Here is a 23,224-nt window from a genome sequence, read left to right on the forward strand (position 1 = left end):
AAGGTTTACTCAGCTCCACAAAGCCTACAGGTGGCTTACGTATAGGGAGAGGAGCATGTATGGAAGGAAGCTTTTGCAGGTTCCAACTCCTCATCCACTAGGAGCAGGCAGGGTGATTCCCTCTGACCAACACTGATCTTGGAAAGATGGAAAGCGACAAGATTAATGAAGAATGTGCAACCACATACTCCAGATAAAGCTGTTCAGTTAAAGCAGCCCCATGTCGCTCCCAAGCCCCACCTTTGTGTAAATCTATGCGAGCACCGATGGGGCATGTCCCAGACCCATTGGCTCCGCCCACCTCACCTCCTCGCCTATCGTTAGTTCTCTGCGAAACCGCGAACTGGGGGCGCGGCCTATCTTCAGCCCCGCCCCTGATGGGCCTATACAAGGGGGCGGTTCCGCGCGCGCCCGCCCAGTTGGAGCCAGACAGCGGGGTGGACAAGTGGCGTGTGTGCTGCGACCCCGAGGGAAGATGAACGGGACGCGGAACTGGTGTACCCTGGTGGACGTGCACCCAGAGGACCAGGCGGCGGTAAGAAAAAGCGCTCTCGCTGTCTTCTCCGTTTTGTATTCCCGGTTTCTAAGTCCGCCCCTTCCGTGCCCCGCGCCGTGTTGGCTGACATCACCTGGTGCCCGGCTCGCGCGGTCAGCCCTGCGCGGCGCTTCTCTCTTTTTATTCTTTTGCCTGCGACGGGCAGTGGGAGTCGCGGGGTGAAGACTCCTTTGAGGCTGGAGGGTTCGGGGCGTCCCTGCCCTTTGGTAGGACACTGCGGCTCCTGCCTGGGACTCGGCGCCGGCGAGCCCGTGCTTGGGCCGCGGGTCTCAGGCGTCTTTTGGGCAGCCACATTGGGTCATAAGAGAATGAGCTCAAGCGACTGGGTCCCTGAGCGCCTTTGGACGTTGTGTCCTGCCGAGGAGGCTTAGGCTTTCCCGTGGGTCGAGGGTCCTGGTGACCTCCGAGGCCCTCCAAAGAATTTCATCATGGTGCTTTGGATGATCAGTAACAAGAAAAATGGTAGAGTAAATTACAGGGCTTGGACTGGAGGGCGGGGGGCAAGTAGGGGACGGTAGGACTCAAACTATTCCGAGATTGGCTAGGGACTCTACCTTTCGCTAAGGGATAGGGCTTTCCGCCCGGGGGTCACCTCTTGTCTTGGATTTCTCCTTCTTCCCCCTTGTAGTTCTCTTGTTTTCCTCCCTCTATCTGCCTGCCGATAGCTTCCTGGGACGGTGTGTTAGTTTTGCTTCCGTCTCCAGCCGCCAGGCCCTGGGATAGTGGAGGAAGGGGATGCAGAACCCGGGCCGAGAAGGGGAGGGAAGTGACCCAAGCGAAGGCTTCTGGACGGGGAGAGGGTTGCGGAGAAAGGGGGCGTTCTCCAGTGCAGGCTGGTCTACCCCTCTCTCCTCTTTCTCTGGCTCCCAGTCCCAGTTCTCCCCACCCTAGCTGACCATATGGTTTTTCCTCTCCAGAGGCTGAGGAGGGTAATTTGTGGCTGAGTGTTTCTAGGCTCTTTTGGGGAACTTAACCCAGATTAGGTGTGTACTATTTCATCAATTTCCAAGCTATTGTGGGTGGGAGTGAAATGAAAACTAAGGTGATGGGGAACTTGTGTATCATCCCCCCTCCCACATCTGACTCCCTTACTCTCTGCCTGCCTCATCCTGCTCTTGAGGTAGAGCTAACCCAACTGCAGCTAGATTATGGCTCTTCTTCAAACTCATTTCAGGTTTAGAATACAGATGGTCATTTAGTTCTTTTCCCAGTCCCCTCTCCATTTCTGCCTGGGCTATGAGTGTTTTTGCCACATTAAAATACAGATGTTGCTATTGGCCAACCCCAGTTGCCCAAACCCCATTCTTCTGTAGCCTGCCACATCCCCAGCTATGAGACTCTGAAGAGATGGAAGAAATCTATCCATTATGTGTCAGCCACAAGTCCTACTCCCTGCTCTTTGTTTTTAAGCGACGAGTGTCTTGCTATGTTGCCGGAGCTGCAGTACAGTGGCTCTTCACGGGTGCAATCATAGCACACCACAGCCTTGAACTCCTGGCCTCAATCCTTCTGCCTCAGCCTCCTGAGTAGCTGGGACTTCAGATGCACACCACCTATAGCTTCTCTTCCATGCTCTTGCTCTCTCTTTTGGAATAGTTGAGGGAAAAGGGTATGAGATAAATAAAGGAGAGGGATGTTTGGGCTGCTTTTTGCTTGCTTGCTATATAGAAAAGAGATCCGGAAAGAAGTCTAAGACCAAGTTGGCACTGGCAGTGTTAATGAATCATTAACCTCTACTATTTTTTTTCTTTCTTCCTTTCTTTTCTTTTCTCTTTTCTTTTCTCTTTTTTTGAGACAGGGCCTTGCTCTGTTGCCCAGGCTGGAGTGCAATGGCATGATCTCAGCTCACTGCAACCTCCACCTCCTGGTTTCAGTAGATCCTCCTACCTCAGTCTCCCCAAGTAGCTGAGACTGTAGGCACATGCCACCACACCTGACTAAAATTTTTTTTTTTTTTTTCTGTTGGTAGAGATGGGATTTCACCATGTTGCCCAGGCTAGTCTCGAACTCCTGGGCTCAAGCAGTCTGCCCACCTTGGCCTCCCAAAGGCTTGGGATTACAGGCATGAGCCACTACATCTGGCCCCTTTTACTCTTTCTTGATGTTTTTGCTCTTTGTCTGGTGGGGCAGAAAAAATTACTAAGAGAAAATAATGGACAAGGAATTCAGATGGTCTCCATCATAGGTTAGTTTGAAGCTAACCAGAGACCTCTAGAGCAAGGGAGAGACAGAAATTCCCTTTTATTCCTTTTTTCTAGGCTGAACTTGAGACTTATTTTACTCCAGAGCTGGGAATGAAGTAATCATTGCCCAGATCTGATCTTGGAGACATTCCTGGGCCCTTAAGGGAGGGGAGGAGATGGTGAACAGTCGGGACACAGGCCTTGTCCTGGATTCCTCTTCTCTGAGCCAACTTGCAGACAGAATTTATGGCTCTGGACAACCCCCAGGAATCTGTCATATATTCACACCACTGAATGGGTGCTCAATTCATGTGCAAAGTGAGTCAATAAATAAATGAACAGATGTTTCTTCCGGAGTCAGAATGTAGACAGTTGAACTGATTAGAGATCCTACTGGGAGTGAGGGCCCTGGGACTCTGTTGGTGTTTCCCCACTAGCCAGGCAGTGTGCCTTAGCGTATCACATGTGGACATGGACATAGGGCCAATACACTCTCTGGGATGTTTTTATTGTTGGAGGCAGATGCAGCAGGTACAAGGAGCCAGTGTTTTTCAGAACTGCAGACCATAACCAGTAGTGGGTCTGAGATCAACTTAGTAGGTCAGACCAGTATTAAAAAAGAAATAGAATTAACACTCTTAGAGTGTTAGTGAGGATAGACATTTTTGGTAGAACTTTTATTTCAGTTATATATATATGTGTGTGTGTGTGTGTGTGTGTGTGTGTGTGTATTATATATGTACGTGTTTGTTTACTGGGTCTTGATGTGAAATATGTTTTTGAGATTGAAAAGTTTTGCAAGCCACTGTGGTAAGTTATATTGGCAAATAAAAGAACAAATAAACACCAAACTCCTTTTTACTAGATATTTCCATTAACTTCCTTTGGTTATAAACAACAGAGAATGACTCCAGCTAAACTAAGCAGATGAGGAAATTATTAGAAGGAAATAGAGCAGTTCACAGAATTTAAGGGAAAGCTTAGAAAGCCCTAACCAAGGATGTTCTGGGGCCTGGGTAAGTGGAACGATGGAGGCTTACTACTATTGGTGAATTGGTTCCAGCTGTTTTAGGTCTCTGCACCATTATGCTCAAGATTCCAGGGAGAGAGTACCATTGTCCCTTGGCCCCCAGTTGTCCAGAGCAGGACAGGGTTCCTTGACTGATAGGCCCCCCCCAGATTACAGTGATGGAAGGAGATTCTCCAAAGACCCAAGTGTTGTTATCAGTGGAGGGGAATGGAAGCTGCGTGGCAAAAGAACAGATGTCTATGACATTAGACTTTACCATGGATGATCTCTGATTTCATTTCCCTCCTTCCCTCTCTTCCTTCTTTCCATCCTTCTTTAAATCACTTTTTTTTTTTTTTTTGAGACAGGGTCTCACTCTGTTGCCCAGGCTGGAGTGCAGTGGTGTGATCATAGCTCACTGCAGCCTTGAACTCCTGGACTCAAGGGATCCTTTCACCTCAGCCTCCCAAGTAGCTGGGACCACAGGCATACTCAACATGTTTAGCTAATTTTTCATTTTTCGTAGATATGGGTTCTCACTATGTTGCCCAGGCTAGTCTTGAACTCCTGGTTTAAAGTAATCTTCCTGCCTCGGCCTCTCAAAGTGCTGGGATTACAGGTGTGCACCACTGCACCTGGCCTTAAATCACCTTTTTTTTGGGCGGTGGGAGGGGGAGGATGGAGTCTCACTCTGTCACCCAGGCTGGGGTGCGGTGGCACAATCTTGGCTCACTGCAACCTCCATCTCCCTGGTTCAAGCAATTCTCCTGCCTCAGCCTCCCGAGTAGCTGGGATTACAGGCATGGGCCACCATGCCCAGCTAATTTTTGTACTTTTACTAGAGATGGGGTTTCATCATGTTGGCCAGGCTGGTCTCAAACTCCTGACCTCAAATGATCTGCCCGCTTCGGCCTTCCAAAGTACTGGGATTACAGGCGTGAGCCACCGTGCCTGGCCTCTTAAATCACTTTTTATCAAAGGAGTTTCACTCTTGTTGCCCAGGCTGGAGTGCAACGACGTGATCTCGGACATTTAAAATCACATATGTGCATGATTTTAAAGTATCAAAGTATCAATAATATCAAAAGGCTTTTAAAAGAAAATAGCAGTCCCCTGCTCCAAGTTCTGCTCCATGGAAGTAACCACTTTCTACTCTTTGAGCTGTTTTGTGTTTACCTCCATGTTTCTAAATAATATGCTTACAGTGATTTTAATTGATTTATCAGTTTTAGACATCTATTGACTTCTGTTGTAGGAATTATAGGAAAATCTATACTCCCACCCCTGACATGCTTCCTTCCCATCCTCCCAGTGTAATTGTATTACAATTTTTGGTAATGTAATAAACTAGTTTCTGTTAATAGCATTGTGGTCAAGAGCATGGCTCTGGGCTGAGTGCAGTGGCTCACGTCTGTAATCCCAGCACTTTGGGAGGCTGAGGCAGGTGGATCACCTGAGATCAGGAGTTCGAGACCAGCCTGACCAACATGGCAAAACCCCATCTCTACTAAAAATACAAAATTAGCCAGGTGTGGTGGTGCGCACCTATAATCCCAGCTACTTGGGAGACTGAGGCAGGAGAATCATATGTACCCAGGAGGTGGCGGTTGCAGTGAGCCGAGATCACGCCATTGCACTCCAGCCTGGGCAACAAGAGTGAAACTCCGTCTCAAACAAACAAAAAAAAGAGCATGGCTCTGGGAATCTGACTAAGGTGGGCTCTAATCAGGCTTTGATGTCTGCTTTGCCCAAGCTCACTTAGGCAAATTACTTAATTTCTTCATTCTTAGTTTTCTCACTTGTAAAACTGGGATAATAATTGCACCCTTCTCATAAGGTAGTTGTGAGGATTAAATTAGATAATACACATAAAATATGAAGCACAGTGCCTGGCATGTGGTAAGTACTCAGAGGTTAGCTATTATTTTCTATTTCTACTGGCTTAGACTAGACTGTTTTAACCTCCTATAAGCAACCAGCCAAGGGATGGAGGAAGAGTCTGGGAACTCTCTGGTTTGGGCAAGGTTTGCTCCTCCTCATTATGCTGACTTTTGTTTATTCCTGTTTCTTTCTCGTTTCCTTGATGATCCAGGTCCCTCAACCAGTGGAGAGTCCCAGGGGTGAGAGGAAGGCCTACAGATAGACCCAGGGTGAAGACCTGAGTAACCTTTGCTAGTCCTGACTCAGCCAGTACTGGTCTTAGACTGGTGATGGGTCAGGGTTCATATTTTGGCATCTCTCTCTGGGCATCTTTCCTCTTCTTTTTTAGACCTCATGACCAAGGCAGCTGGTGTCCCCTGCTGCTCTGGTTTCTTTAAGTAATATATCAGTTTTATCTTTCTTTCGAATATTTGCATTTTTTTCTTTTTTTTTTTTTTCTACAGCATCTTTTTATTGTCTTTACCATTACTTTAATGCATTTTAAAATTTATCTACATTAATTGGGAACTATTTGCATTTTTTTCATCCTCTCTCTCTTTTTCTTTTTCTTTTTTTGGATTTGTCTTGGCCAGAGAGGTTCTCCAACACCCGGGTGGACTTGGAATTTTTTTATCAGCTGCAATCTGAAGACTTGTCTTTACTGTGGAATAGGTGACATTCCTTTAGGACCTCAGAAGCTCAAGTAGTTTAATGCCAAGTCTTTCCAGAGCCTCACTCTCTTTTATTTTTTAAATTAGAATTGTGATTTATTGAAGCCTTACCATGAGCTTCATATAATTTTTTATGAACAGCTTTATTGAGATATAATTCATATACCCCATTTAAAGTATGTAACTCAGTGGTTTTTAGTACATTCACAGAGTTGTGCAATCATCAATAAATCAATTTTAGAACATTTCCTTACCTTATAAAGAAATCCTGACCCATTAGCAGTCACTCCCCATTTCCCCCCAATCTCTCTCAGCCCTAGGCAGCCACCAGTCTACTTTTTTTCTCTATGGATTTACCTATTGTGGATATTTAATATAAATGTAATCATCGGTATGTGATCCTTTGTGACTGGCATCTTTTATTAGAATGATGTTTTCAAGGTTCATCCATGTTGTAATGTGAATCAGTACTTCATTCCTTTTTATGGCTGAATAATATTCCATTATTTAGATGTATTACAACTGTGTTCGTCATGGATAAATGTTGGTGGACATTTGGGTTCTTTCTACTTTTTGGCTATCATTTATAATGCTGCTACGAACTTTGGTGTACAAGTTTTTGTGTGGAAATATATTTTCATTTCTCTTGGAGAGGAATACCTAGGAGTGGGATTGCTGGGTCAGAATATTTGCATTTTAAAGGAGGATTCATCTGTAGCCATTGCTGCTTACTCCAGAGGACTGAATGTATTCTAAAATGTGGAAGTCCTGGTTCTGTGACATCTGAGTGTGGGGAAAAACTGCTGGGCAGAGGAGCCTTTCAAGTTTGGTGGCTGCCTGTTCCTTCTACTCATGAAACTTGTCCTAAACTCAGCCCATAAATTTCTCCTCACACCATCCCATCTCTCCCATTTATTGCCAGGTTCTTACTTTCAGGAGCACTGCATTTTTCTGATGTCACCAAGGCTGCCAGGAATTTGGGGAATGCTGGGCTTTGCCAGAGAAGGAGGGATCTCCTCTGAGCGAGGAGAGTTACCTCATCATCAGGCATTTGGCACTAACATTTGCCCATAGTTCTCCAGGGTGGAGGGGGGCGTGCACCCAGATGGTTTCAGTTCCAGACACGTGTGCTCAGAGAGGTGGGATGAGCTTCCTTGCCTGCTAGTAATTATGGTGCATGCCTCTTTGGGTCAAGGTGCAGAGGCTTGTGAAATACCTTTGTTTTCTAGGGGTTGGGAAGGTTCAGTTGCGGAAATAGGTATGTGCCAGGAAGGCTGGTGGCCCAGATTTAAGCCTGGCCAGCAGAGGCAGGAAGTGGAGGAGACAATATAGGGTAAGAAGGGGATGAGTCGATGAAGGAAGAAAAGAGACGTGGTTTTCTTGGGTCTGGGAGCACAGAAGCAAAAATCACTAAGCAGGTAGTCAGAGACTAGAGAGGGCAGAGCCACTCCCTTTGATGCAGAGGGGGCACTGAGGAACTTGCCCTTTCATTCCAGGTTTGCTGGTCGCTAGGCAGGTGTCCTAGAGTGAGACTGGCTTAGCAAGTGGGTGTCTCCTTCAGAGTTGGTTCAGGAGCTCACTTCCCTCTACAGACACACTGTCACTGCTAGGCCCTAGTGTTTTCCTTTGTTAGGGCTCCAAGTAATGAGAAAGGCTGCCCCATGTAGGGTGCCACCTCAAATCCTTTTTCTCATTTCACCTCACAGTAACCCTGGTGAGCCCTCTACATAGTGCCTGTCCAGCCCATGCCTCTGGGTAGGCAGCCACATAAAAATCAAACACCTGTTTTGTTGGCTAATCTGGGGAGGAAGAAAGGGAGTGATTCTTTGTGTCATACTCCACAAAGGGCCATCTCTGGCCTAGGCAGCACTGCAGAAGGCAGGACCATGTACCTGAGACTGATGAGCTGAGTCGGGTGCGAGCCTCACTCAAGGAGAGGGTAGAGAGGGTAGGTACCCACCTATCCCATCCGGCTCTGTTCTTTGAGTTTATGGGACTTCCTTCATCCTGATCACTTGGGTGCCATTGTTACAAGGGGCTGGCTATTCCTACTTTTCTTTTTTCTTTTTCTTTTCTTTTTTTTTTTTTTTTGAGACGGAGTCTTGCTCTGTCACCAGGCTGGAGTACAGTGGCCCAATCTTGGCTCACTGCAGCCTCCACCTCCCAGGTTCAAGTGATTCTCCTGCCTCAGCCTCCCAAGTAGCTGGAGCTACAGGCGTGCGCCACCACGCCCAGCTAATTTTTGTATTTTTAGTAGAGATGGGGTTTCATCCTGTTGGCCAGGATGATCTCAATCTCTTAACCTCGTGATTCGCCTGCCTTGGCCTCCCAAAGTGCTGGGATTACAGGCTTGAGCCTCCGTGCCCAGCCTCCCATTTTTCAAAGTGGGGAAACTGAAGTGACTGCTCCTCCAGCAGCTTGAGAGGCCATGTACACTTGGGGTGGGAAAGTGGGTGGGATTGAGGGGCAAAGTGAGGGAAGAGTGGGATACAGGGTGAAGATGAATTAAGGTTGCTGGTTTCCAGCTCAGGGGCAATCTCCACTTCCTTTACTTCCTCTTAGAAAGAACCTTACACTTGACTCCTACCCAGTCCTAGTGACCCCTGTAAAACCTGGGGAGTGAGAGCTGGGGGAACGCAGGCTTTTCCCTATTCACATGAGCCTGTGGTGTGAGAACTCTGCACCTCTCTCCTTATTTCCCTGGGGCCTCCCTGTTTATCTCCTTATCTCTGCTGTGGCGTCTTGATCTCTAACCCCTCAGCTATGTGTTTACCCCCTCCCTGCTTTGAGGAGTGAGTCAGGGTTGGAGATTTGTTTGAACAGAGTGGTGAGGCTGCCTATAATTTGGAGGTAGCTGGGCTTCTCCCAAAAATGTTTATGAGGTTAGAGGCTGCTTACCTTGTGATTAGTACTGCTCCTTTTTCCCTAGAGAAGAAGGCTCCACTTCTCATCTTGCCTTTTAGAGTACCCAGTAGAGACCCCCCTGCCGGATATTTTTGGGGTGTTCCTAAAGCTCCCTGGAGCCTGCTCATAGTCCTGAGGAAATGCAAGCCTGCTCTAGAAAACAACTAAGTGCACCAGGCAGAGAGGAGCCCCAGGATTTGCTCCTTGACTCTGGGTTGGGGGTGCAGGCCGAGGTCTGTGGCCTTGCTGACTAAGATGCATTCTCCAGTTCTGGAGGATGAGGTGCCAGAGAGAGCCCTAAGTTTTTCATCAGCTCCATTAGACAATTTACCTCATCCACCCTCTTCCCTTGCAGACTTTCCAGAGCTACTTGGGAAAGTAATGCTGCTTCACCCTTGTGAAGAGATGTATGGTTTGCAAATCACTTTTACATCATTCTTGCACATCTATCTACTCTTCCTAAAATGTCGGTTGTGAAATTATCACCCTCATTTTACAGACAGAAAACTGAGGCCCAGAGAGATTAAGTGATTTGCTCAAGGATTAATGGTCATCAATCAGGACTCAGACATCCTGCCTCTGACTTCAAGTTTAGTACTTTGTTTTGAAACAGAGTCTCGCTCTGTCACCTGGGTTGGAGTGCATGGCACAGTCTTGGCTCACTGCCGCCTTGACCTTATGAGCTCAATTGATCCTCTCACCTCAGCTTCCCTAGTAGCTGGGACTGCAGGTGTGCACCACCACACCAGGCTAATTTTTGTACTTTTTGTAGAGACAGGGTCTCATTATGTTGCCCAGGCTGGTCTCAAACTCCTGGACTCAGGTGATCTGCCCTCCTGGGCCTCCCAAAGTGCTGGGATTACAGGCGTGAGCCAACATGCCTAGCCAAGTTTAGTACTTTTTCTTTCCTTCTCTTTATATGTTTTATTATAGGAGTGTCACAGGGCTCACTGCACCTCTCTCCTTATCTCCCTGGGGCCTCTGCCTCCCAGGTTCAAGCGATTCTCCTGCCTCAGCCTCCCAGGCAACTGGGATTACAGGTGCCCACCACCACACCTGGCCAGTGTTTTGTATTTTTAGTAGAGACGGGGTTTCACCATGTTGGCCAGGCTGGCCTTGAACTCCTGACCTCTGGTGATCCACCTGCTTTGGCCTCCCAAAGTTCTGGGATTATAGGCGTGAGCCACTGTGCCTGGCCCAAATAGTTTTTTCGTTTGTTTGTTTTTTTGAGACAGAGTCTCACTCTGTCACCCAGGCTGGAGTGCAATGGCGTGATCTTGGCTCACTGCAGCCTCCGCCCCTTGGGTTTAAGCGATTCTCCCACCTCAGTTTCCCGAGTAGCTGGGATTACAAGCATGCACCACCAGGCCCAGCTAATTTTTATATTTTCAGTGGAGACGGGGTTTCACCATGTTGACCAGGTTGGTCTCAAACTCCAGACCTCAAGTGATCTGCCTGCCTCGGCCTTCCAAAGTGCTGGGATTACAGGCGTGAGCCACCACACCTGGCCCCAGCTTGCTTTTTCACTTAACACTTATTTTGAGATTTATTCATGTCAATGCATGTTTCATAGTTCATTTATTTTCACAGCTGAATAGTAGTTCATTGTACTAATATGTCAGGGTTTATTCATTCATTTTCTAATTAGCCAGGCACGGTGGTGCACGCCTGTAGTCCAGCTGCTTAGGAAGCTGAGATGAGAGGATCAATTGAGCCTGGGAGGTCAAGGCTGCAGTGAGGCATGATCATGCCACTGCACTCCCGCCTGGGTAACACAGTGAGACCCTGTCTCAAAAATAATATATAATTTAAAAATTTGTTTTCTTGTCAGTGGGCCATCTGGGTGGTTTCTGGTATTTTGCCATTGCATGCAATGCTACTGTGAACATATTTCTACATGTCTTATCTTTATATTTCTATAAGTGTAATGAAATCCCCCCAAAATAGCTCATTAGCATTTTAATTTGCCTTTTCCTTTACTGGTGAGGTTGAGCATCTTTCCTATTCCATTAGCCACTTGTTATTTCTTTTTAGAGTTGCCTTCTTAGTCTTTGCTCAGTTTTTCCTTGACCTTCCTCTGCTACTTTTCTGTGTCTGCTTTTTCTAGTATTCCATACTGCTTCTCTAAACTGAAGAGCTGGAGTTTCTCAAAGGGAATTGGGAAAATCCCTGAACATATCACCTGGAACTCATGCAACAACATATTTTTTTGAGAACCTATTCTAGGCCAGCCATTGTACTAAATAAGCTATCCATGTCTTCAAGGAGCTTATGATTTTCTCGGGGGAGATGAATGAATTGTTACAAAAGAATGGGCTCCTTGTTAAAGTGCAGGATATGTAGGTTGCAGTAGGTGCTCTGACTGAGGGAGGAGTGCTGGGATAAGGGTCGGACCCTCAGAGAGGAGATACCTTGAAGGCTGAGCAGGAATTCTCCAAGGAGGCAAGGGAGGAGAGGATACCCCGGTCGGAGAAAGCAACATGCGCACCTCTGGGGAGGTGGGAGCACGTATTGCACTGGAAGACCCGTTAGCAGAAACAGACTTGGCTTTGGATGCCTTCTACAATTGGATCAGGAAAAAGTTGGGGATAGAGTGCAGGGTACATTGGGGTACTGGAGGGAGTCAAAACATTTTATGTGGTATAAACTGTGATGGTCCTGATCATAAGGGGACTCTAATACCATAATAAGGAGTTTTTGACTTTTTGTTTTTAAAAACATTTAATAGTAACATATATACAGAAAAATATGTACATCACAAATGTCCAGTCAAGTAATTTTCACAAACTAGACACATTCCTGTGAGCAGCACCCAGATCAAGAAACAAATCATTACGGGCACTGCAGAAGCCCCCTCATGTCCCCTTCTAATTACCACCTACCTCCACCTCAAGGGTAACCACTATCCTGACTTCTAAAGTGCAAATTATATTAGTTTTGCTTATTTTTGTGCTTTTTATATAAGTGGAATCATACAGTATACTTTTGTGTCTGGATTCTTTTGCTTAACATCTTTGTGAGATTTACTGATGTTGCATGTACAGTGCTTCATTCTTTTTCATTGTTGTACAAAGTTCCATTGTATGAATATATTACAATTTATTCTACTCTTGCTGAACATGTGGGTAATTTCTGGTTTGAGGCTATTTTGAAAAATGCTACTGTGAACTTTCTAGTATACATGCTTTTATGGGAAACATATGTATGTGCCAGGGCAAAGGGAAAGCCTCTCCTTCACCCTCGGAAGTTTTGCTGAAAATCACTGACAAAAGAAAATAGGGAAAAAGGCCCGGGCGCGGTGGCTCACGCCTTTAATCCCAGCACTTTGGGAAGCCGAGGCGGGTGGATTACCTGAGGTCAGGAGTTCGAGAGCAGCCTGCCCAACATGGTGAAACCCCATCTCTACTAAAAATACAAAAATTAGCTGGGTGTGGTGGGACACGCCGGTAATCCCAGCTACTTGGGAGGCTGAGGCAGGAGAATTGCTTGAGCCCGGGAGGTGGAGGTTGCAGTGAGCCGAGATCGTGCCACTGCACTCCAGCCTGGCCGACAGAGCGAGAGGGACTCTGTCTCAAAAAAAAAAAAAAAAAAAAAAAAAAGGCATACAGATTTATTTGATCATAGTTTTAGGTGACATAGGAACCTTCTGAATGAAGACCCAAATATACAGAGGAAAACGTCCATTATTTTTAAATTTTCAATTTTTATTATTTTTTAAAAGCTAGCCTTACTGAATCAGAAGCAGTCCATTCTTAGATTTGAAAAAGTATAGGCAGCTGTGTAGAAATATGATTGGACAAAAAGGGTATGATCTAATGCTGAGAGACTAAATGGGGAAACCCAGCAAGGCCTGTCTGTCTAGATTCTTCTTGACCTCTCTAAGCATTCCTTCCAGGTGTGAGACAGGGCCCTCTCTGGAATGGGGGTCTTATGACTTCAGATCAAGCAAGGTGGGTCAGATAATTTTTTTTTTTTTAGATGGAGTCTTGCTCTTGTCCCCAGGCTGGAGTGCAGTGGCACGATCTTGGCTCACAGCAACCTCCACCTCCCAGGTTCAAGCAATTCTCCTGCCTCAGCCTCCTGAGTAGCTGGGACTACAGGCACCTGACACCACGCCTGGCTAATTTTTCTATTTGTAGTAGAGATGGGGTTTCGCCATGTTGGCCAGGCTGGTCTCGAACTCCTGACCTCGTGATCTGCCCACGCCTCCCAAAGTGCTGAGATTACAGGCATGAGCCACTGCACCCGGCCAGATAATTTCTTTATAGCTAGCTTTTAATAGAAAGAGAGGTGGAAAGTCAGAGTAATATTTTTAGGTTTTATGGCTGGCTTTGGGGAAAAGGGGTTCTGGTTTCTATGACCCACCTTGAGAAGAGGGATTCTAGTTTCTATGGCTAGCCCCGGGATGGGGAGGGGAGGAATGAAAGGCCAGAAAAGAGGTCAGGAGAAAGTCAGAGAAAACTTTTTTCTTCCGAGGTCTTCATTTTGGGGTATCATATTCTGAGATCCTACATTTGCATTTCTGTTGGGTAGAGTAACTAGTGGTGGAATTGCTGTGCCTTAGAGTACTTTTGTGTTTATCTTTGGTCCATGCTTCTGAATTTTCCAGCGATTGTGTTGCTGCGCAATCCCAGCATCAGTGTCTCAGAGTGTCGGTTGTTCCACATCTGCTGAACACTTCGTATTTTTTTTTTATCCATTTCATGTTAGTCATTCTGATAGGTATTTTGTGGCATTGTTTTGTGGTTTTACTTTCCAGCTCTTTGATAATGCCTAATGAAGTTGAACCCCTTGTCATATGTTTAATGACTGTTTGGGTATCCTCACAATGATGTGTCTGTTGGCATCTTCTGCCTGTTTTTCTATTGGGCTGCATGTCTGGCTGGCTGTCTCCCTTTCTTTCTTTAAGTAAACATTTTATTTTGAAATAATTTTAAATTTACAGAAAAGTTGCAAAGTAGTACAGAGAACTCTTATATACCCTTCATCCAGTTTTCCCACAATGTTAACATCTTATGTCACCATGGCACGTTTGTCATATAAAGAAATTAATGTTGGTACAATGCTGTTAACAAAGTTGTAGACTATCTGGGTTTCACCACTTTTTCCACTAATATCTTTTTTCTGATCCAGGATTCAGTCCAGGATCCCATGTTAATCATTTTGTTTAGTAGGAATTCTTTATATATTCTGGACATCTTTTGTCAGATATACATATAGTGAATTTCTTTTGCTCTGTGGGTTGCCATGCAGTGTTTTTTTAAATTTTATTTTATTGTTATTGAGACAGAGTCTTGCTCTGTTGCCCAGGTCGGAGTGCAGTGGCACGATCTTGGCTCACTGCAACCTCTGCCTCCCGGGTTCAGGCAATTCTCCCGTCTCAGCCTCCTGAGTAGCTGGGACTACAGGCACGTGCTACCACACCCGGCTAATTTTTGTATTTTTAGTAGAGATGGGGTTTCAACATGTTGGCCAGGCTGGTCTCGAACTCCTGACCTCGTGATCTACCTACCTTGGCCTCCCCAAAGTGCTGGGACTGTGAACCACTGTGCCCGGCCCCCTTTTTTTTTTTTTTTTTTTTTTTTTTGAGACAGAGTCTCACTCCGTTGCCCAGACTGGAGTGCAATAGCACAGTCTTGGCTCACTGCAACCTCTGCCTCCAGAGTTCAAGCGATCCTCCTGCCTCAGCCTCCTGAGTAGCTGGGACTACAGGCATGTGCCACCACTCCTGGGTAATTTTTGTATTTTCAGTAGAGACAGGGTTTCAGCATGTTGGCCAGGCTGGTCTTGAACTCCTGACCTCAGGTGATCCACCCACCTCGGCCTCCCAAAGTGCTGGGGTTACAGGTGTGAGCCACCACACCAGCCCTCTTAGCAGTGTCTTTTGATGAATAAAAGTTCTAAATTTTAAGGCCGGGCATGGTGGCTCACTCCTGTAATCCCAGCACTTTGGGAGGCCGAGGCGGGTGGATCACATGAGGTCAGGAGTTCAAGACCAGCCTGGGCAACATGGCGAAACCATGTCTCTATCAAAAATACAAAAACTTAGCCAGCTATGGTGGTGCACACCTGTAATCCCAGCTACTCAGGAGGCTGAGGTAGGAGGATTGCTTGAACTGGGGAGTCAGAGGGTGTGGTGAGCCAAGATTGTGCCATTGCATTCCAGCCTGGGTAACAGAATGAGACTCCCTCTCAAAAAAAAAAAAAAAATTATAAGGCATACACTAACATTTTAATAGTGGCTGTTTCTGGGTGGCAGGATTATAAATGCTTATTTTCTTCAGTATATTCTTTTTGTCCCTGCAAGTACTTGAAGGAATATTAATTCCTTTTTTTTTTTTTTAACAAAAAAGATAATTATAGGTCGGGCATGGTGGCTCACACCTGTAATCCAAGCACTTTGGGAGGCCGAGGCAGGCAGATCACGAGGTCAGGAGTTTGAGACCAACCTGGCCAACATGGTGAAACCCCTTCTCTACTAAAAATACAAAAATTAGCCGGACGTTGTGGTGGGTGCCTATAGTCCCAGCTACTTGGGAAGCTGAGGCAGGAGAATCGTTTGAACCCAGGAGGCAGAGGTTGCAGTGAGCTGAGATGGTGCCATTGCACTCCAGCCTGGGTGACAAGGTGAGACTCCGTCTCAAAAAAAAAAAAAAAAAAAAGATAATTATAGATTCACATGCAGTTATAAGAAATAATAGAATTCCCCCATATCCTTTATTCCATTTTTTCCAGTGGTAACATCTTGCAAAACTGTGGTACTCTATCACAACCAGGATATTGGCATTGATACAGTCAAGCTATGGAACATTTCCATCACCAAAAGCACCCCTCATGTTGCCCTTTGAGAGCCACACTCATTTCCCTCCTCCCCCCCACTTTCTTCTTAACTCCTAGTAACCACCAGTCCTTTTCCCATTTCTATAACTTTGTTATTTAAAAAATGTTACACAAGTGAAATTATAGAGCATGTAAACTTTTGTGATTGGCTTTTTTCACTCAGCAAATTCTCTGGAGAGTGTTGTTGCATGTATCAATAGTTTGATCCTTTTTATTGCTGAGTAGTATTCCACAATAACAGATGTGCCACAGTTTGTTTAACCATTTCTCTACTGAAGGCATCTGGGTTGTTTCTAGTTTTTGGCTGTTACAAATAAAGCTGCTTTTTCCCTTTCCTTTCCCCTTTCCCCTTCCCTTCCCTTTCCTTCCTTTTCCCTTTCCCTCCCTGCCTTCCCTTCCCTTCCTTTCTCCTCCCCCTCCCCGTCTCCTCCCTTCCCACCCCCCAGCTCCTCTCCTCAGGGTCCTACTCCGTAGCCCAGGCTGGAGTGCTGTGGTATGATAGCAGCTAGCTACAGCCTCAACCTCCCCAGCTCAAGTAATCCTCCCACCTCAACCTCCTGAGTTTCTGGGACAACAGGCACACAACACCATGCCTGGATAAGAAAAAAACATGTTTTTTTGAAGAGAGGGGCAACTTTGTTGCCCAGTCTGGTCTCAAGCTCCTGGCCTCAAGCAATCCTCCCACCTTGGCCTCCCAAAATGCTGAGATTACAGGCCGGACACAGTGACTCACGCCTGTAATCCCAGCACTTTGGGAGACCAAGGCAGATGGATCACTTGAGGTCAGGAGTTCGAGACCAGCCTGGCCAACATGGTGAAGCCCCCTCTATATTAACATATAAAAATTAGCCAGGCATTGTCACGGGAGCTTGTAATCCCAGTTCAGTTACGTGGGAGGCTGAGGTAGGAGAATTGCTTGAACCTGGGAGGCAGAGGTTGCAGTGAGCCGAGATTGCGTCACTGTACTCCAGCCTGGGTGACAGAAACAGAATTAGTCTCAAAAACCAAACAAAATGCTGAGATTACAGATGTGAGCTATGATGCCCGGTTCTGTTTTTCATTTATCTGTTTTCTTTTTCCTGCCTTCCTGTGGATTAACTGAACACTTTTTAGGATTCCATTTTTATTCATTTATAATGTTTTTGAGTGTTATCTCTTTGTATAGACTTTTTAGTGGTTACTCTAGGTATTATACATTATGTATACATAGGTTATCACAGTCTCCTGGTGTTGGCATTTTACTAGTTTGAGTGAAGAAGAGAAACCTTTCCTTCCTTTACATCCCTTTACCTTCTCCCATTTATGATACTAAATATTTAATAGTATAATATTATCATATTTAAATATTTTCTCTGCATACATTTAGAACCACATCAGACATTGTTATACTTTTTGCTTTAATCATCAAATGTAACTTAGAAAACCTAAGAGGGGCTTTCCAGCCCCAGCCCCGGCCCCTACAGCCACCGAGATGTTGATGCCTAAGAACCGGATTGCCATTTATGAACTCCTTTTTAAGGAGGGAGTCATGGTGGCCAAGAAGGATGTCCACATGCCTAAGCACCGGGAGCTGGCAGACAAGGATGTGCCCAATCTTCATGTCATGAAGGCCATGCAGCCTCTCAAGTCCCGAGGCTACGTGAAGGAACAGTTTGCCTGGAGACATTTCCACTGGTACGTTACCAATGAGGGCATCCAGTATCTCCGTGATTACCTTCATCTGCCCCGGAGATTGTGCCTGCCACTCTATGCTGCAGCCGTCCAGAGACTGGAAGTCCTCAGCCTAAAGGTCTGAAGGGTGAGCGACCTGCAAGACTCACAAGAGGGAAAGCGGACAGAGATAACCTACAGACGGAGTGCTGTGCCGCCTGGTGCCGACAGCAAAGCTGAGGCTGGGGCTGGGTCAGCAACCGAATTCCAGTTTAGAGGTGGATTTGGTTGAGGATGTGGTCAGCCACCTCAGTAAAATTGGAGAGGATTATTTTGCATTGAATAAACTTACAGCAAAAAAACTTAAAAAAAAAAAAAGAAAACCTAAGAGGGGAAGGAAATCTTGTTGTATTTACCCATCTTTTTTCAACTCATGTTTCTTTCTTCCCATTATTTCAAGTTTCCTTTTTTTAAAAAATAATTTCCTTTCTGTTTAGAGAACTTTTTAAGCCATTCTTTTAGTGTAGGTCTGCTGGTGAGAAATTCTCTTAGTTTTCCTTCATCTGAGAATGTCTTGATTTCCCCCTCATTTCTGAAGGATATTTTCCTTTGTTACAGGATATTTTCCTTTGTCAATTCTGAATTGACCGTTCTTCTCTTTCAGCATTTGAAAAATAGTATGCCACTTCCTTCTACTCTCTGTCATTTCCGAAGAGAAAATAACCTTTGAGGGATCCCCTCAAAGGTTATTTTCTCTGCTTTCAAGACTTTTTCTTTGTCTTTAGTTATCAGAAATTTAATTATGATCTATCATGGCATGAATTTCATGTTTATTCTGTTTGAAGTTTGCTTGGCTTCTTGAATCTATAGATTTGTGTCTTTTGCCAAATTTTGAAAATTTTTGGTCATTATTTCTTTGAGAACATTTTCAACTGACCCTCTTTCTCCTCTCTACCTGGAATTCTGATGGCTGGATGGAATCATCTCTCAGTGCCCCAACCCAGCCTAGTTGTCTATGCTCTTCCAATTGGAATGCGTAGGTTTATGAAACAGACCAGACTTGACCTTCATTAGCTAATAACCCCTTTGTTCTGACTGAAGGATGCCCTGCCTTTTCCCAGCCTGCCTCCATAGAACACTATGGGGAGATAGTGTCCTTTTTTTTTTTTTTTCTTTTTGAGACGGAGTCTTGCTCTGTTGCCCAGGCGGGAGTGCAGTGGTATGATCTTGGCTCCCTGGAACCTCCACCTCCTAGGTTCAAGCGATTCTCCTGCCTCAGCCTCCCTAGTAGCTGGGATTACAGGTGCCTGCCACCACAGCCAGCTGAGTTTTATATTTTCAGTAGAGACGGGGTTTCACCATGTTGGCCAGGCTGGTCTCAAACTCCTGACCTCAGGTGATCCACCCACCTTGGCCTCCTAAAGTGCTGGGTTTACAGGCATGAGCCACTGCCCCTGGTCGAGATACTGTTTTAATAAAAGTGCAGGTATGTCCTGGGAAGGAAGAATTTGGCAGCCATTCTGGCTATTTTGAAATCATTTCCTCTTTTTTCTTTTGTAATATTTTCTTGACCTAGATGTCATGGAGCATTCTCTGTGCATTCAGAAAATACCTTTGCTAAGGGCTGTGGCATACAACAGCTCTTGAGGAGTTAACAGAAGGGGTAATTCTTCACAAAACACAAATAACTGAGAGGCAGATGCCATGGGAGGCCTTGTGACGCTGTGGGAGCTCAAGGAGGGGAAGATGTGTTTCCCACAGGATGCGGGGTAGCATCTTGGAAGATGAGGCATTTGAACATGAACTTGAGGAACTTGGAGACGCCTTAGGTGAAAATGGGAAGAATAGATATTTAAGGCACAGGAAATGATGGGAGCAAAGGCACTGAAGTTGGAAACCATGGAATGTATTGGATAGGGCACTGAGAGATGGTAGCAAGAGGTGTGAGTTTACCCAGACTGTGGAAAGCCTTGCATGCCACTCTAAGGATGTGGCTTTTATTTCATAGGAATTAAGTGTTTTCATAAAACCAGCTACTTTGCTAGGGTTGGGAAGGTTTAAGGGCCATTGTGACAGTGTCTTCTGTCTTCCCAATCCAAAAAGTGGGAGGATGCTGATGTTTCAGTGCCACCCTCCTGTGTGGCAGAGAGTAACCTCCATACATTTTCTCATTTTCTTTTTCTTTTTGAGACAGCATCTCACTCTGTCGTCCAGGCTGGAGTGCAGTGGCGCGATCTCAGCTCACTTTAACCTCCGCCTCCCTGGTTCAAGCGATTCTCCTGCCTCAGTCTCCTGAGCAGCTGGGATTACAGGCGCCCACCACCACGCCTGGCTAATTTTTTTGTATTTTTGGTAGAGATGGGGTTTCACCATGTTGGCCAGGCTGGTCTCGAACTCCTGACCTCAGGTGATCCTCCCACCTCGGCCTCCCAAAGTGCTGGGATTACAGGCATGAGCCAGCACACCGGCAATATTTTTAAGTAATATTCAACAAAAAAACCCTCAGTTGGGGGCCGGGTGCGGTGGCTCACGCCTGTAATCCCAGCGCTTTGGGAGGCTGAGGCGGGAGGATCACAAAGTCAGGAGTTCGAGACCAGCCTGGCCAATGTGGCGAAACCCCGTCTCTACTAAAAATACAAAAATTAGCCAGGTGTGGTGGCAGATGCCTGTAATCCCAGCTACTTGGGAGGCTGAGGCAGGAGAATTGCTTGAGCCCAGGAGACGGAGGCTGCAGTGAGCCAAGATCGTGTCACTGCACTCCAGCCTGGGAGACAAGAGCAAGACTCCATCTCAAACAAACAAAAAACCCTCAGTTGGATGGTAATATACCCCTTTTACAGATAAAAACATCAAGAGTTAAGTATCTCACCAAAGACTGATTTCTTCTCCACCAAGTTGGAACGTTATCTTCTCTAGACATTTGGAAGGTTAAGAGGGTTCCTTAAAACCTGTTACCAGTAAGATGTCATTTATGCAGCTGGGCCTCAAGGCAGGGGATGACCAGATGACCTCAAGATCACTTTCATTCTTGGATAGCCCAGCACCTATTTCTCTTCATTGTCTGGGAGAGGCATATACTCCATCCTCACGCTGTCACAGAATGGAATCCAGAAGGAGCCTGAGATATACTTGGTCCAACTTCCTTATTTTTCCAGTGGGAACCAGAGATCCATAGTGGCTAAGCCCCTCATTCACTTCCATGCATAGTGCAGGTGATTTACTCTGCCTTGTTAGCCTTCTCTCAACGTTATCATCTTCCCAATCTACAGGCCCTTACTTTTCCCTCCTACCACGTTTTTCCTTTCAGGTTTTTAATTTTCCCTGCAAAGTATTGTGTGTGTGTGTGTGTGTGTGTGTGTGTGTGTGTGTGTGTGTGTGTGAGTGTTTGAGACGGAGTCTTGCTCTGTCACCCAGGCTGGAGTGCAGTGGCACAATCTTGGCTCACTACAAGCTCCGCCTCCCGGGTTCACGCCATTCTGCTGCCTCAGCCTCCCGAGTAGCTGGGACTACAGGCGCCTGCCACCACGCCAGGCTGATTTTGTTTTTGTATTTTTTAGTAGAGACGGGGTTTCACTGTGTTAGCCAGGATGGTCTCGATCTCCTGACCTCGTGATCCACCTGCCTTGGCCTCCCAAAGTGCTGGGATTACAGGCGTGAGCCACCGTGCCCGGCCTTTTTAAAAAAATCTTCTTTGAAGCCCGGGCAACATGGCAAAACCTCATGTCTACAAAAAATACAAAAATTAGATGGGCATATTGGTGCGCCTGTAGTCCCAGCTACTTGGGAGGCTGAGGTGGGTGGATCACTTAAGCCTGGGAGGTTGAGGCTGCAGTCATGCGCGCGCGCGCGCACACACACACACACACACACACACACACACACTTCTTTGACTTATGAAAGAAAACCTGCTTCATTCTTTGAAATTAGGTTGATCTCTAGATGAATACCTATTATCTTGCCTGTTTTCACTTGGATAATTTCCATGTGGCTCATAGAAATGGGAGTTTGAATTCAGGTACTTTCCTATAGTTTAGTTCAGGAAGAATATGCTAGTCTTGTAAAGTGCATCAATAACTTGCTGGCTGGTTGTCAGGAGCAGAAATTCTGGATTGAGGATGAGCAGTCCAGGAATGACCTCTCTACAACTAGAGAAAGAAGAATGCATGCAATGTGTTCCCTGTAGTCCAAGAACCAGGGTAGCCCTGCTGGAGCTCTACAGAGCCATGTGCCAGGTAATCTTTGTTGTGAAAGAAAAAACTGTTGGGTGGTCCCAGAGTCACCACCCCAAACACCTGATCTTGGGCAAGGTAATGCTGCCTCCCTGGACTTCAGTTTTCCTAGTCTGTGAAGTGGTGATGATAAGACCCGCTCCACAGAGCTGGCAGAAGCACCCCTGTACTGGTAGCAGTTTGTACCTGTAGACTGTAAAGTTGAGGGGTTATTGTTGCTGTCATTGTCATTATTAGGGCAGCGTGGACATTCTCAGGCTGACTCTCCAGGGTGAACTGACAGGAGATGAACTTGAACACATAGCCCAGAAGGTACTGCGGAATTCTGGTGGGCAAGGCCCCCTCCCCACACCAGTGCTTCCTTGCTGCTGGCCTCTTACCCAAGTACTGCCTGGAGCCGACTCTGGTGATGCGAGCGTGGGAGCCCCTCCTTTCAGCAACATCCAGCTTGCCTCAGCCTTCTGCACTGCTTTGGGGCAGGAGGAGTCCCCCACTAAAATTAAAACTAAACTGCTACTTCTGTCCATTCTCCCTGGCCGGTGTTCTTGCTGCTGTGTGGCTTCTGTTAGAAGTTCGGAAACGAATTTTTGGAGAGGAAAGTCAGACTAATCCTTCAAGTCTTTTGAGAAACAGGTCTTCTGCATTAGCTGAGGGGCAGGAGTTCTGGGCTTGCCATGTGGTGTCTGAGCCATCTCTCTCTCTCTCTCTCTCTCTCATCTCTCTTTGGCCAGGCGGGCAGGAAGACCTATGCCATGGTGTCCAGCCACTCAGCTGGTCATTCTCTGGCTTCAGAACTGGTGGAGTCCCATGATGGACATGAGGAGATCATTAAGGTAAGCTTAGTTCACCTCCAACTTTTCTCCCTGTCCTCTTCCTCCCTGCACGTATATGAGAAGGAGCAGTTGATGTTGTTGCCAAAGGGAGCTTGTGGTTTGATGGAAGGAACCAGACCTGAGCTGCTAGTTCCTGGCAATCTCCTAGAAATATCTTAATTAATACCAGGAGACTACAGTCTGCCTGTTAGCAACTTTGGTGCAGCCTGGCCCCAGGCAAGGGGATGGACTGGATGACCTTACTAGGGGCCTATCCACTGACCATGTTTTGCTGCTAGAGGTTGTGGAGACAGGTAGGAGGTGTGTTTATGGAACTTATGTTTTCCTATAATGGGTTCATCCTGATGGAACTTATTTATTTATTTATATATTTTTAGTTTTGTAGAGACAGTCTCGCCTTGTTCCCTGGGCTGGTCTCCAAATCCTGGG

The 23,224-nt window shown here is 46.2% G+C and overlaps 1 protein-coding gene, 1 non-coding gene and 1 pseudogene across 7 annotated transcripts in view, besides 3 other annotated features; all 3 read left to right on the forward strand.

Annotated features, from left to right (window-relative positions):
• Nucleotides 195-710: an enhancer, noted in NCBI's record as "H3K27ac-H3K4me1 hESC enhancer chr1:151512562-151513077 (GRCh37/hg19 assembly coordinates)". NCBI's record gives its function as "activates a minimal SCP1, AML or CMV promoter by ChIP-STARR-seq in primed H9 embryonic stem cells {active_cell/tissue: H9 hESC(primed)}" and the evidence as "EXISTENCE:reporter gene assay evidence [ECO:0000049][PMID:30033119]".
• Nucleotides 418-23,224, forward strand: part of TUFT1 (tuftelin 1) — a 43,275-nt gene continuing 20,468 nt past the window's right edge. The window contains exons 1-4 of one of the 6 annotated variants that reach the window (NM_001301317.2): nt 418-535; nt 21,827-21,965; nt 22,200-22,274; nt 22,694-22,795. In NM_001301317.2, the coding sequence (NP_001288246.1) occupies nt 21,849-21,965; nt 22,200-22,274; nt 22,694-22,795 (294 nt within the window). In that variant the 5' untranslated portion in view covers nt 418-535; nt 21,827-21,848. Of the gene's footprint in view, nt 1,019-21,826; nt 21,966-22,199; nt 22,275-22,693; nt 22,796-23,224 lie in introns of all 6 variants that reach the window. The other 5 variants (XM_017002223.3, NM_020127.3, NM_001126337.2 and 2 more) reach the window with 5 other exon arrangements.
• Nucleotides 711-1,225: an enhancer, noted in NCBI's record as "H3K27ac hESC enhancer chr1:151513078-151513592 (GRCh37/hg19 assembly coordinates)". NCBI's record gives its function as "activates a minimal SCP1, AML or CMV promoter by ChIP-STARR-seq in primed H9 embryonic stem cells {active_cell/tissue: H9 hESC(primed)}" and the evidence as "EXISTENCE:reporter gene assay evidence [ECO:0000049][PMID:30033119]".
• On the forward strand, nt 5,905-6,000 carry MIR554 (microRNA 554). The gene has a single exon (NR_030280.1). It is a non-coding gene; the product is annotated as a microRNA 554 (primary transcript).
• Nucleotides 7,037-7,555: an enhancer, noted in NCBI's record as "H3K27ac hESC enhancer chr1:151519404-151519922 (GRCh37/hg19 assembly coordinates)". NCBI's record gives its function as "activates a minimal SCP1, AML or CMV promoter by ChIP-STARR-seq in naive H9 embryonic stem cells {active_cell/tissue: H9 hESC(naive)}" and the evidence as "EXISTENCE:reporter gene assay evidence [ECO:0000049][PMID:30033119]".
• RPS10P6 (ribosomal protein S10 pseudogene 6) lies at nt 17,518-18,100 on the forward strand (annotated as a pseudogene).

This window comes from Homo sapiens, chromosome 1 (assembly GCF_000001405.40).
Source record: "Homo sapiens chromosome 1, GRCh38.p14 Primary Assembly".
NCBI classification, from domain to species: Eukaryota; Metazoa; Chordata; class Mammalia; order Primates; family Hominidae; genus Homo; species Homo sapiens.